Source organism: Homo sapiens, chromosome 8, assembly GCF_000001405.40.
Source record: "Homo sapiens chromosome 8, GRCh38.p14 Primary Assembly".
Classification (NCBI taxonomy): domain Eukaryota; kingdom Metazoa; phylum Chordata; class Mammalia; order Primates; family Hominidae; genus Homo; species Homo sapiens.
In genome coordinates this window covers 7,011,188-7,023,888 of record NC_000008.11, presented here as the reverse complement: position 1 = coordinate 7,023,888, position 12,701 = coordinate 7,011,188, and the positions used below count along the sequence as shown (strand labels likewise).

The following is a 12,701-nucleotide window of genomic DNA, read 5'->3' as shown; positions in this document are numbered from 1 at the left end:
AACAAGCTAAGTTAACATTTTGACTCCTATATCTTGGAATTGAGGAGGAATTCTAGCTTCAGGAATTGCTTGATCCAAGAAATCAAAGCATGAGTTACACTGTTGTCTTCACCTTTTTTTTCCCTTTGTTTCTCTTGAACTTACTTTGGGCTCTCTCCCCAGGTGACAACCATGTGAATCATCGTCATCTCTCTATGACTTTTGTAGCTAATCTCCTGGAGAAAATCCCTACTTCTTCCCATGTTGTTCCAGCCAACCCCCAAGTCCCGTGGCCTCCTCTGAGTCTGTCACTGTGGGGAGAGGTTGACACTCCACCTGGCTCCCACACCACCCCTGCTCTGAACAGGAAGAATTTAAACTAAGAATGGGTGACGGGGGTTCTTCAGTCACTCCAAAGAGTCCACAATTCCACGCTGCCATTAAGATGGGCTCTTTGTGACACTTTGGAAATAAGGTGAGAGGGTTCTGTCCTACTTCAACAATATTATAGAGAGGCTGAGATTTACACACACAAAAAATGCACACATTCAACTTCTCACCAAGACCGTGCCTTCTGTTCATCTAGGACTGTGCGAAAAGACACCACAGAAAGTAGTGGATTGAAACAGCATGATCACGTCTTCACTCACACATTTGCAATTGGGGTTTGGATCCTTCCACGGGCATAAGAGGAGAGGTTCTGCTGAGATCTGAAAATTTCAGGGCCAGGACACTCGTGCACAGGTGGCAGGTGGTGTTGGCTCAGCTGGAAACTCTGAGAAAGCTGAAGGATGAGACCCTGTGATGTGCTGGGGTCAGATCAGGCCAGCTCATGAGGGAGGAGTTTTTGTGTGATAATTCTTAAACTGTCTATAGCTGGGAGCATTTTAACCACAGAAATTTACAAACATTGCAAATCAGAGTTTTCTTTTTTCCTAGAAAGCTGGTTGCTCAGTGTTCTCTAGCCCATCCTTGCAGGTGGGCTCAGTTCCTCTCCCTGTGGGATGCTTAGTCTTCCTCCAAGCATGGTATCTGGGCTCCAAAGGCACCAGCCCTCTAAGCACATGTGGACTGCTAAAAAAAATTCAAAATGTCGTGAACTAAGTTACTCTAATATTGCCTGGAAGGTCACCCTCACTACCTCTCAGCGCTCTGTCCTCCGGGACAACAGTGACCCTTCATCTTCTTTGTTCCAACCCTCCACCGCATGGCCACACCCTAACTTCTGCCACCATTCGGAATCCCCTGTGGAGGCTAAGAAGTCCAAATCAAGGTGGCAGCAGAATCAGTGTCTGGTGAGAACCAGCTTTTTGGTTCATATACAACATCTTCTTATTGTGTCTTCATCTGGTGGAAGGAATGAAGGAGCTCTCTGGGACCTCTTCTACAGGGGCACTCATTCCATTCATGAGGACTCCACCATGCTGACCTCCTCATTTCCAAAAAGACCCTTTCTTTTAATGCTATCATCCTAGGGTCTAAGACTTCAACATATGAATTTCAGAGGAAAAATGTCTCAGACCACAGCACCATCCAAAGAGAGATAGAAAAAGACACCAGTTCACTAGCGCCTGATCCCAGAAAACAGCATGGCATCTAGTTCCATGTAGTCTGTTGGTCAAAATGTTACCCATCCTAGACCTAACAGGAGAGAACAGAAACCTTTCTTTCTATAAAAAATAATAAAAGAATTTAGGGAACATATTTTAAAACAGCTCAAGGAAGCTATTTCCTTATGGTTTATTGTAAAATAAACCTGCTGCAATCCTCAACACCAGACACACAGACAGCTTGTGAGAGGCGGCTGGGAAAGGCAGACAAAGGGCAGGGACTTGGAGCTCCTACCTGTCCCAGCTGGATCTGCAGGCCCGGGAGTGACTGTGTGGCACAGGCACCACCAGGACCCTCCCTGCAGGACAGTGGACAAAGGGCTGAGGGGAGGGACACCACCATCCACTCTGAGGAGCTGGGAGGTGGAGGGTCCTCCTCAGAGCTCACCTCTGCGTAGCCCCCGCTGTGCCCCATGGTAACACGCATGCTGTGTTCCATGACTACCCTTTCCTGCTGGGTCAAAACCATAACCCCAGGGCCCCGCCCAAGGTCCACACACACTGTCTGCTGGGGCCACCAGACACCATAAACATGTGTGAGAATATGTGTGCTGCTCCTGGAAGCTTCTCTCCTCTCACACCTACAACCCCACCCACAGCTTCTCCAGAATGTTTACCCCAGCCTAATGATGTCAAGGTTTTTATTGAGTCTAGACTCGCTTCAATATTCCCTAAAATTCAAATGCGTGTGTCTGAAAAAACAGCTTCAGCTGCATCTACATATAGTGTCCACAGTGTGGACACTGATTGTCTACACTGGCTGCAATCACTGGAAAAAATCAGGCTGGGGTTGGGGACTATGGATCAACATGGAAGTGAAAGTACTGTAAAAAATCTGTAGACATAACACCTTTTTTGTTTAAACCACAAAATTCTGCCAAGGTTCTGGTGCAGCCCAAAGAGAAAGGTGAAAAGGACCACAGGGAAGAATCTCTCTGTTCTAATTTGAGTTTTGGAGTTTGAGAATCACCTGCGGGAGGATGGCGACAATGCCTAGGTGTGACCTCAGCGCAGACTGAGACCCTTCTGGGGCTCTGGGCTGCCGAGTCCTGACCGCAGTCTATGGAGGAGGCAAGGATGGGAGCATGGCCATGAGGGAGACACAGAGCAACGTCCCAGCAGATGGTTCCCAGTCCTGCAGCCAAGAATGGCAGGGAAGGAGAGCACAAGACTGGGTTGGGGCAGAGAAGGCCACCCCTCCAGGGACAGGAGCCACCCGTGACTCTGAGCCAGCTGGAGGGTCTCTGTTCTCCCTCAGCTCCCCAAATCGCTCTGGGTGCTGCATGTAAAGCCACCGCCTGGGCCAGGACACACGGGCAGGTCTGCTGCACCCGCTCTCCCTCTTCCTGGACAGTGACCAGGTTTCTGCAGGACACACTCATGGCCCCTCCAGCACTGTTGTAAAGATTCTGGGCATCAATTTGTCGTCAGTGGGCTGACAAAGTCCCCTTGCAGTTAAAAACCAAATCCTCACCACTAGTGTCCTAGCCACTTTGCAGTAGGCCCTCCATGTACTGGGACATGGTGTCTTTGGAGACAGCTATACCCCACTTGTCCATTCTGCAGGGGCCCACAAATGCCATCACCCAGAAGCCCTTCACATCCATTGGGGCCACAGCAGGATACAGTCTGTTGCTGGACCAGCAGGTGATTCTAGACCATGCCCGGGTCCCGGGTTCTGAGTTTCATGGGGAGGCCCTCACTACCGTCCACCACAACTCTCAGAGCCTCTGGACAAAGCACACCTGTCCTAACTATGAGCTTCTGCACGTGTAGTCTTCCAGGGACCGTAGCTCCTTATGCCCTGCGTGGAGCAGGTGTTCTCTTTACGTGGCATTTCTTCACTATCTCCTTTAGAACCACACCTATCATTGATTCAGATGGAGGCTCCCACCTCAGGACATCACAACACGAGGGTGGGTTAAGGGAGACTCATTTAGTCCATCGTCCCCAAGTCACCAGCCTCCTCAAGCAGCACGGTGGCCTCCTAAAGTCATGGTTATTAATGTCTCTGGATGTGCTATGGACACCCAAGGCACCAAGGTCCTTCCAAGGGCCGTCACTTTTTTAACTCTCAACCCCATGGCCACCACTGCCTCATCACAATTGGGCTAGACCCACTTTGGTGCCTATCTTGGTGATCACAGAAGAGTTAGCTTCTTTTTTCCCTTACAGATAACATCATTTACATGTTCTCCAATAATGAGACCTCCCCATATCATCACAAGACATCCACCATCTCAACATCAAACATGTACTGAACAATGGACTGTGGATGGATAGTAAACTACGATCTTCTGAGGATAACCCCCCAGGCCCACTGGCACCCAGCAGGACCACGAGGCTTTTGCTACACCACACCTCTCCATTTCACATGCAGCTTCTGGCAAAAGCTCCCTTTTTTACCGGTTTTAAAGGTTAGCTAATATTTCCCACTTACTCCTCCTGGCAGGAAGTAAGGATTATTGCTCCAGAACCCACCGAGGGTGCAGTCAGAGGCAGTAACGAGGAGAAGAAGCCTTCAAACTAGAGACACCAACTACGTCAGGCAAAGACCATATGGAAGTGCCATCACCAAACGTGGCCATGGGGGAGAAAGGCTCCAAGGAAAAGTGGGTGCCAGCCAACCCCATCATCAGTGTCAATATAGAAGCACTGGGAAGAAAGCCCTGAGTGACAAGATGTCAGTGTTCTCTATGATTGGCCTTGCTTGGTATCTTATGTACAAATGGCTTGTGGGGTAGCTGTTTAACCCAGGCCTGGCAGCCTAGAGGGCTGCTGGAACAAGACAGCCCTAGTCAGAATTTGTACCCCAGACTGGAAAACTGGGGAATTCCCTGTAAGCCCTGTTAGAGGGGCTGTACCCCAAATACAACCTGACCTGTGTCCAAGGTGGGCAACTCAACCCTTAGATATTGAATGGGTCCCATGGCACCAATGCTTAAACACCAGCAGCCCTCACAACCACAGATCGTGTTTTAAGGATGAGGAGGTAGTTCTCTGGATGCATAGGCTTCAATCCAAATGGGCTAACAATGCCGCAGCACACACCCAGACAGCAGCCTGAAGAGTTGGAGCCTTGCATTCACATAAAGCATCCAGACAGGATCATGGGCTAAGGGATACGCCTGTTCTCCGATGGGTACCAGTTAAGGATGGAAACTCCTATGCCTCCCAGAAAGCACCACTCAAGCTTTTGCTAAATGCTTCTCTGAAGACCCACAAGGGCTGAGAGGCTGTCCAACACCAGCAGTAAAGTGAATGCCCAGACTCCCACTTCCCTTCTTGGGTGGCCATCTGGAAAGGCCACTCCCACCCTGATGGCTAATGCCTCAGACCAGTTCCTGGCCCAGATGATCCTAGACAATTGTTTAACCTTAAACTGTTCATTGGCCAAGCAAACAGGTGATAGTCACCTCTGGGGAACCACATGCCGCGTGTACATCCAGTACTCAGGAGAACCCAAAAATGTCTGTTCCACATAGCAACAGAAGCCCAGGTAGCACTCAGTCTCACCTGGGTGTTCTCCAACATCCCAGCTCAGCCAAATGGCTTTCATTAGTTTTTATGGTTAGACCTCAGGTCCTCGGGACACTGCTTTAGAAACACATTCCAAATCCTCCTCTGTGTGCAGGTGGCATTCCTATCCTAGTCTCTTTGCAGGGCGTATACTATGATACGCAGCCAGGTTGTCCCAGAGGCTTTAAATATTCCCTTGGTGCAGGTAGTTCAGCTTAGCCACAGCCAATGCATCACAGGGTCAACTGTGTTAGGAGCCATTGAGAATCCATAGTTGGTTGCTGCCTGGGCCTGGCCAGGGCTGACCAAGGTAGATGAGAGGTTCCTCTGTGGAGTTCTACTTTAACCTCACCTTCCCACCAAATTTCTCAACTGTCCTTGCCACCACAATTATTTAATGGACCCAACAGAAAGTAACCCCGGAAATTAGGACACCTCATCCCAAAAGACCTTTAAATAGGGGAAGTCCACTTGTGCACGGCTGCTCCTTGCTATAGAAGACCTGGGACAGAGGACTGCTGTCTGCCCTCTCTGGTCACCCTGCCTAGCTAGAGGATCTGTAAGTACTACAAAACTTAAACTTTACACTGAGTTTTCATCATTGAAGCTATGCCTCCAATCTGACCTCTGACTGTGGGGCCGCCCCAGAGGGACCCAGCGGGTGAATCCCTGCTAGGAACGTCTGTCCGGACCTCTGGTGACTGCTGGGGACGATGGCTTCCAGCTAACTTAATAGAGAAACTCAAGCAGTTTCCTTCTAAACACACATGTCCTGGTTGACATGTCCAGTAGAGACTATCACAGGTCTTTGGAACATTCTTTTGAGAGAAACCTATTTAGGTCCTTGGTCTGTCTTTCAATCAGGTTGTTTGATTTTTGCTATTGAGTTGTTGGAATTCCTTATGTATTCAGATATTTGCCCCTTCTGCCATGTAGGTTTTGCAAATATTTTCTCTCATTTTCTGGGTTATCTTTTCACTCGGTTGATTGTTTCCTTTGCTGTGCAGATGCTTTAGCGTTAAATGAAGCCACACTTGTCTATTTTCCCTTTTATTGCCTGTGCCTTTGGTGTCATAGCCAAGAAATCATTACCTACATCAATGTCAAAAGCTTTATCCTTCTATACACTTCTAGTAGTTTATGGTTTCAGTTGTTACATTTAGGTTTTCAATTCATTCTGAGTTGATGTTTCTACATGGTGTGAGATAAAGATTTAAATACATACATATATAAAATCATGAGGTAGTGTACACTATAAATATACAATTGTTAATTGTTACTCAAGTCTAAGTAGAGGTGGAAATAATAAACTTTCTTTTTTTTACTTAAACCACTCTGTGTCACTGAGCTGATTTCACCTTTAGCCTGATAAAATCATTGTCCTCTCCACCCTGATTCCTACAGGAGACTACTCACCCCATAACCTCAAAAACCTCTTCATGAGGATGGTAAGTCACCTGAATCCTGAAGTGAATTACTCGCTATTCCATTGGAACTCATATAGGACACCAGAATCTAGACCTCCAGAGAACAGCAGGACCCATCTTCAGAAAATAAGAAGCATTTGTTCCCTGAGCCTGTTGAATCAAAGTGCAATTTCTATTCTTTTTGGAATGTTAAAAAGTAAATCATAATATTTAAGCAGGTGAACCCACGAGTAACATAGCAGGGTCTTTCTTGTCATTATTAGCTCCAACCTAGCACAGACATTAAAGGTACAGATGTATACTAGCATGAAACTGGGAGAACAGGAGCATTCGAGCAACCTTGAGACCAATGGGCCTCTCTTGTAAAATGCACACCTCCTCTCACTGAGATTGAGGAAGGTTTCTTGTCTCCGAGCCTTCTCCCAGTAGAGCTATAAATCCAGGCTGGCTCCTCCCTCCCCACACAGCTGCTCCTGCTCTCCCTCCTCCAGGTGACCCCAGCCATGAGGACCCTCGCCATCCTTGCTGCCATTCTCCTGGTGGCCCTGCAGGCCCAGGCTGAGCCACTCCAGGCAAGAGCTGATGAGGTTGCTGCAGCCCCGGAGCAGATTGCAGCGGACATCCCAGAAGTGGTTGTTTCCCTTGCATGGGACGAAAGCTTGGCTCCAAAGCATCCAGGTGAGAGAGGCAGGCATGCAGAGCTGCTAAGTCTAGAGGGAAGGACGGGAGAGAGGTTCCAGAGTTGGGTCTCAGCAGTCTATGTCACTGAGGTGGCTTCACTTAGAATCTCTGGGCATTGATTTTCTCATCTAGAAATTGAACAGAGAGCCAAATAAACCTGAGAAACTTTATTTCTCCAAAGACTTGATTCCAAGAAACATCTGTGAAATTCACTAAGTTTAAGATATGAAGAGACAGACTAGTTATTTCTGGATCTAAACAAGTAGACTTAGTTGTAAAGAGAACATTTTACTCTACAGAAGAGCTTTTAAAAACTGCAGCCAAGCCTGAGGGTATGTTCAGGTGTGTGTGTGATGGGGCAGGAATGCAAAAATGAGAGCAAAGGAGAATGAGTCTCAAATTCTGTGTGACAAGCACTGCTCTGCGTGTTTATTCCTATCGACTGAGGTTGTTCGTGCTAACGGCTGCAATGCAGCCAGCATCACCTGTCAGCTAGCATGTGACTTCCCCGAGATTCTTTTTCTTACCCACTGCTAACTCCATACTCAATTTCTCATGCTCTCCCTGTCCCAGGCTCAAGGAAAAACATGGACTGCTATTGCAGAATACCAGCGTGCATTGCAGGAGAACGTCGCTATGGAACCTGCATCTACCAGGGAAGACTCTGGGCATTCTGCTGCTGAGCTTGCAGAAAAAGAAAAATGAGCTCAAAATTTGCTTTGAGAGCTACAGGGAATTGCTATTACTCCTGTACCTTCTGCTCAATTTCCTTTCCTCATCTCAAATAAATGCCTTGTTACAAGATTTCTGTGTTTCCACCTCTTTAATGTGTGATATGTGTCTGTGTCAAGACACTTGGGATACACGTACCAAAACGCAAAATCAAATTTTTGAACAATATAAAATTCCAAATTCTAGGAATTTCAAGCAGGAGTTTGGGCTTCAGATCCAAATTGAAAAGAAGGCCCATATGACACCACTGATTTCCCCACCCACTGCTCTGCCTTTTCACCCTGCCTTATTTTCTCTGGATCCACTCTCAAAGAGCTCGCGTGTGCTGGGCAAACAGTCGGTGTCAGCTTACATTTCATGCAGTCACAAAATCATTACTTCTCCGGGAAAAAAAAACCATCCTCTGTGCTAAAGAATTGGAGTTTCATTGAACAATGTCAGATTGTACATTTTCCTTTTAAGACATAGGGTTACATGAGATCCACGGAAAAAACTTTCATTCAGAGGGAAATGGGTTGTTAGCAAAGGCGGGATACATGGAACAGAAAGCACAGCATCTCACATTGGCACGTCCTCATTAAGAGGACCCTCCAGCCACGTCTACTAAGACCTGGATTTCACAATCATACAGTTGTCTTCACACCCAGAAAACACACACACACAAATGCTCCACCGCACTTTGCAACGCGCACTCTCTTGTGTTACCCTAAAGCTGCTGAGAACCTGATTCTGCCTGGAAAATACAGCTTCAGAGGGGATAAGGGACGAGGGAGGGAAAGCATTTCACCAGGAACATGGTAGCGTTCTTGTTGCTGCAGGGGGCTGAGGCAGCCCAGGGGCCCAGGTACCCACTGAGACACTGCATGGATATGGAAGCCCACCAAGAACCCTGGGAGGACAGAGTGCGTAATGATCCCAGACTTCTTCTTGTTTAGATGATGAAGGACACAAATAGGGAATCACGGTGTGAAGCCCAGGAACCTTCTTTGGCTTCCTGTGACTGCCATGGACTTGGAATCATGTGGTCCCCGAATTAACTTTCCATAGTATTCTGAACTATGAACTGGATCAAGATGGCTGCATCTTGGGGCATCTGCCAGAGGTCCACCTGACTTTCTCCCAAGCATCTGAGGTCTCAGCTAAAACTTCACTTGGTCACTGAGGTCTTTTCTGATCTCTCAACCTTAAATTGCAACAAGATCCCCCTGCTGACCTCCATTCTCCGATTTTCCTCATTGCTAACTATAGAATTGAAACCATCTCACTCCCTGTACACTTCACTTACTATACGTAACATTTGCCTCCTTACTCCAGAAGGGAAGCTGCATGTTTTGCTTATTGTTGTACCAGAGTGCATGGATGACTGTAACATAAAGTAGGGGGTTAATAAATTAATTCTGATTACATTAACTAATTGCATCTAATAGCACATAACAATATAAAATGATTTATTAATTGTTATTCCTAAATTCCACAGGAAAAAGCTAAATTCAACAGAGGTAGAGCAGTCCATTTTCTAGACCCTATGACAGCACACCTTTAAAAAACAAAATAAATAAAAGTATTCAAGGCTGAAACATGAAAAAACATCATGGGTACTATTTGGCATCATGAAGCTTTAGGACCTTAGAAGAAGCAGGCCATTCCGGCTAAAGCAGGCAAAAAGATTCCATGTGAATCTTCAAGTACAACATCAATATGTTTAAAACATGGAATGACTAAAAGCAGAGGTAGAATGAAATGTTTGGTGGACAGAATGCTATCAGGGCAAGAGCTATGCAGGATGAGGGTGGACCTCCACTGAATTCAGAGGAATGGATGTTGCCAGAGAGAAGGACGGAGTAGAATTCATGCTGATGTGCTGAGAGGCATCCATCAACTCAAGGGAAAGGGGCAGATGAGGACGGAGCCTCCCTGCTCCTCTGTGTGGATAAAGGCACACTGGGAGCACCACATGTGGCTTCTGCTACTGCAGTCTAGGGTGGGCGATGACTGCTGCAAACTCTAGGGACGGAGAATTCAGGGAGAGGTGTGAGGGTCTCCAAACAACCAGGGCAACTTGCTTAGCCTCAAATGAGGCACAACACTGTTTACTGGGATGCACATACACTCTAGGATTAGTGATGACATGCAAGAACTTTTCTACCGGAAATGAGCCATTCATGCGGCAGGACAAGGAAATAAGGAATAAGTTAGATGCCTCATCCCTTTAAATGTAACTACTCAAGGGGACAGCAGCCCTGTCTCTGTAGGCAGGCAGGAGCCTAACTCCAATAAGCACAAACTAGCAAACGCAGATGGCCCAATCACACTGCAAGACTCCCACTACCAACCTCCAGTGCATTTCCGCTAGCTCACCCAGGCCTTAACCTTCCCGCTTTGGCTTCAGGAAAGTTGAGGCCAACGGCTCTCCCTGTTGCAACGTTCTGACTCCCATTTCAACAGTCTTCAATAAGTGCTTCCTTCACATTTTTAAAAGGTCTTGGTTAATTTTTACTTGTACAAAAAATGAAATAGGTTTCTTTTGCTGTTACTGTTCTGATTTTCTAAACTCGGCTTATAAGCAAAACCAGAAGGAAAGAGATCTGAAAAGAACTCATTCCATTTTAGGAATATCTGTATTTTTTCCGTGTTCACGAAAAAAACAAATAACTCATGAAGAAACTAAGGGAAAGAGCTCACTCTAACATTTCCTAGAAGTCAACCTCCCAACATCTCAATTCTGTGTCCTCCTGGATAACAGGGACTGCCACCTCGTTCCAGCCTTCCACCCCATGGCTACTCCCTAACTCCTGCACCACCTGGAATTCCTCCATCTCTGAACATCACTTATGAAATTCCTGTCCCTGACACACCCATTGTCCTCCAGCCTCTCACATAGCCGTCCCTCCTTCTCTGCTGATCAGCATCAATAAGGCTGTTCTCCCCCAGGGCTGTGCATGGGAATCATCCAGGAGTCTCTTCTCCAGGCTGCACCCAGGACACCTGCCATCCGCTCTCATTTCCTATTCTTATGCACTGCACCATTTTGCCTCAGCTTCTCTTATCTGGGTAATTTTTGTTGTATCTTTTTCAGGCATATTAGCGGAGTTGTGCACTCAAATTTAAGAAACCACAACAAGCTGAATTAACATTTTGAATGCCCCACCTGAACAGTGGGTCACACCTGTAATCCAAACACTTCGGGAAGCCAAGGAGGGTGGATCATGAGGTCAGGAGTTCAAGACCAGACAGCGCAACACGGTGAAAACTGTCTCTACTACTAAAAATAGAAAAATTAGCCGGGTGTGGTGGTGGGTGCCTGTAATCTCAGCTACTCAGGAGGCTGAGGCAGGAGAATCGCTTCAACCTGGGAGGTGGAGGTTGCAGTGAGCCAAGATCGCACCACTGCACTCCAGCGTGGGTGACAGATCTACACTCTGCCTCAAAAAAAAAAAAAAAAAAAGAAAAGAAAAAAAAGAAAGAAAGAAAGAAAAGAAAAGAAAGACTTCTGGCTTCATAAAATGCCTGATCCAAGGACTCTAGGCATGAGTTACCTTGTTGTCTTTACCATTTTGTTTCCCGCTTTTTTCTCTTGATCTTAACTTGGGGTCTCTCCCCAGATGACAGCCGTGTGAATAATGGTCATCTTCCCTGGGACTTCATAGCTGATCTCCGGGAGAAAACCCCTACTTCTCTCTCCGTTGTTTCAGCCAGCTCTGGAGTTCCACACCCTCCTCTGAGTCTGTCACTGAGGGGAGAGGTTGAGACTCCACCTGGATCCCACACTACCCCAGCTCCCCACAGGAAAAATTCAAACTAAGAATGGGTGAGACGGGGTTCCTCAGTCTCTCCAAAGAGTCCACAATTCCATGCCCCCACCACAATGGGCTCTTTGTGACACTTTGGGATTCAATTGAGAAAGTTCTCTCCTATTTCATCAATATTTTAGAGAAGCTGAGATTTACACACACAAAGTACAAGTCCAATTTGTCACCAATACTGTGAAAATTGCCCTCTGTTCATCTAGGGCTCTATGAAAAGACACCACAAGACTTAATGGATTAAAACAACATGATCAGGTCTTCATTCACACTTTTGCAATTGGGAGGTGGCTCTCTCCACAGGCATCAGAGGAGAAGTGCTGCTGGGATCTGAAAACCTCAGGCCCAAGACACTTGTGAACAGGTGGCAGGGGGTGCTGGCTCAGCTGCAGCTCTGACAGGGCTCAGGGATGAGACCCTGTGAGGCACTGACGTCAGATCATGCTGGTTCATGAAGGAGGAGATTGGTGTGACACTTTGTATCCCACTCATAGCTAGCAGGATTTGCAACACTTAGACTTCCTCCAAGCATGGTATCCGGGCTTCAAAGACACAAGCAATCTGAGTGTATGTGGAGTGCTGGAAAAAAATACCATACACCAAGTGACTTAGAAACAACAGAAATATATGTCTTGGTGTTCTCGAGGCTGAGAAGTCCAAAACAAGGTGCCAACACACTTGGTGTCTGGTGAGGACCAGTTTTGTGATTCATAGACGGCACCTTCTCACTGAATCCCACTCGCTGCAGATGACATAATTTCATTCTCTTTTATGAATGTAGTATCCCATCATGTATATGTACCACATTTTCTTCATCCAGTCCAACACTGATGGCCATCTAGGTTGACTCCATGTCTTTGTTAGCATGAATGATGCTGCCATGAACATACGAGTACATGTGTCTTTTTGGCAGAATAATTTGTTTTCCTTTGGATATATACCCAGTAGTG

At 46.7% G+C, this 12,701-nt stretch overlaps 1 protein-coding gene and 1 long non-coding RNA gene across 4 annotated transcripts; one reads left to right on the top strand and one right to left on the bottom strand.

Moving 5' to 3' along the window:
• The first annotated feature begins 5,591 nt into the window (after positions 1 to 5,591).
• Positions 5,592 to 8,020, top strand: DEFA3 (defensin alpha 3). Of its 2 annotated transcripts, XM_011534741.3 has the most exons (4): positions 5,592 to 5,667; positions 6,513 to 6,556; positions 7,027 to 7,213; positions 7,790 to 8,020. In XM_011534741.3, the coding sequence occupies exons 2-4, from the start codon at positions 6,548 to 6,550 to the stop codon at positions 7,897 to 7,899; spliced, it is 306 nt and encodes a 101-aa protein (XP_011533043.1). In that variant the 5' UTR covers positions 5,592 to 5,667; positions 6,513 to 6,547; the 3' UTR covers positions 7,900 to 8,020. The 2 variants fall into 2 exon arrangements, with proteins under 2 accessions (XP_011533043.1, NP_005208.1); NM_005217.4 differs by lacking the exon at positions 6,513 to 6,556.
• LOC124901875 (uncharacterized) lies at positions 7,127 to 11,709 on the bottom strand. Of its 2 annotated transcripts, none has more exons than XR_007060791.1 (2): positions 11,485 to 11,709; positions 7,127 to 7,344 (listed from the first exon to the last, which is right to left on the bottom strand). It is a non-coding gene; the product is annotated as an uncharacterized LOC124901875 (long non-coding RNA). The 2 variants fall into 2 exon arrangements; XR_007060790.1 differs by lacking the exon at positions 11,485 to 11,709 and adding an exon at positions 10,282 to 10,353.
• Positions 11,710 to 12,701: the final 992 nt, after the last annotated feature.

Excerpts from the sequence above, each read along its gene's own strand:
- DEFA3 (XM_011534741.3), top strand. Across the intron at positions 7,214-7,789 it reads CTTGGCTCCAAAGCATCCAG|GCTCAAGGAAAAACATGGAC; the intron begins GTGAGAGAGGCA and ends TCCCTGTCCCAG.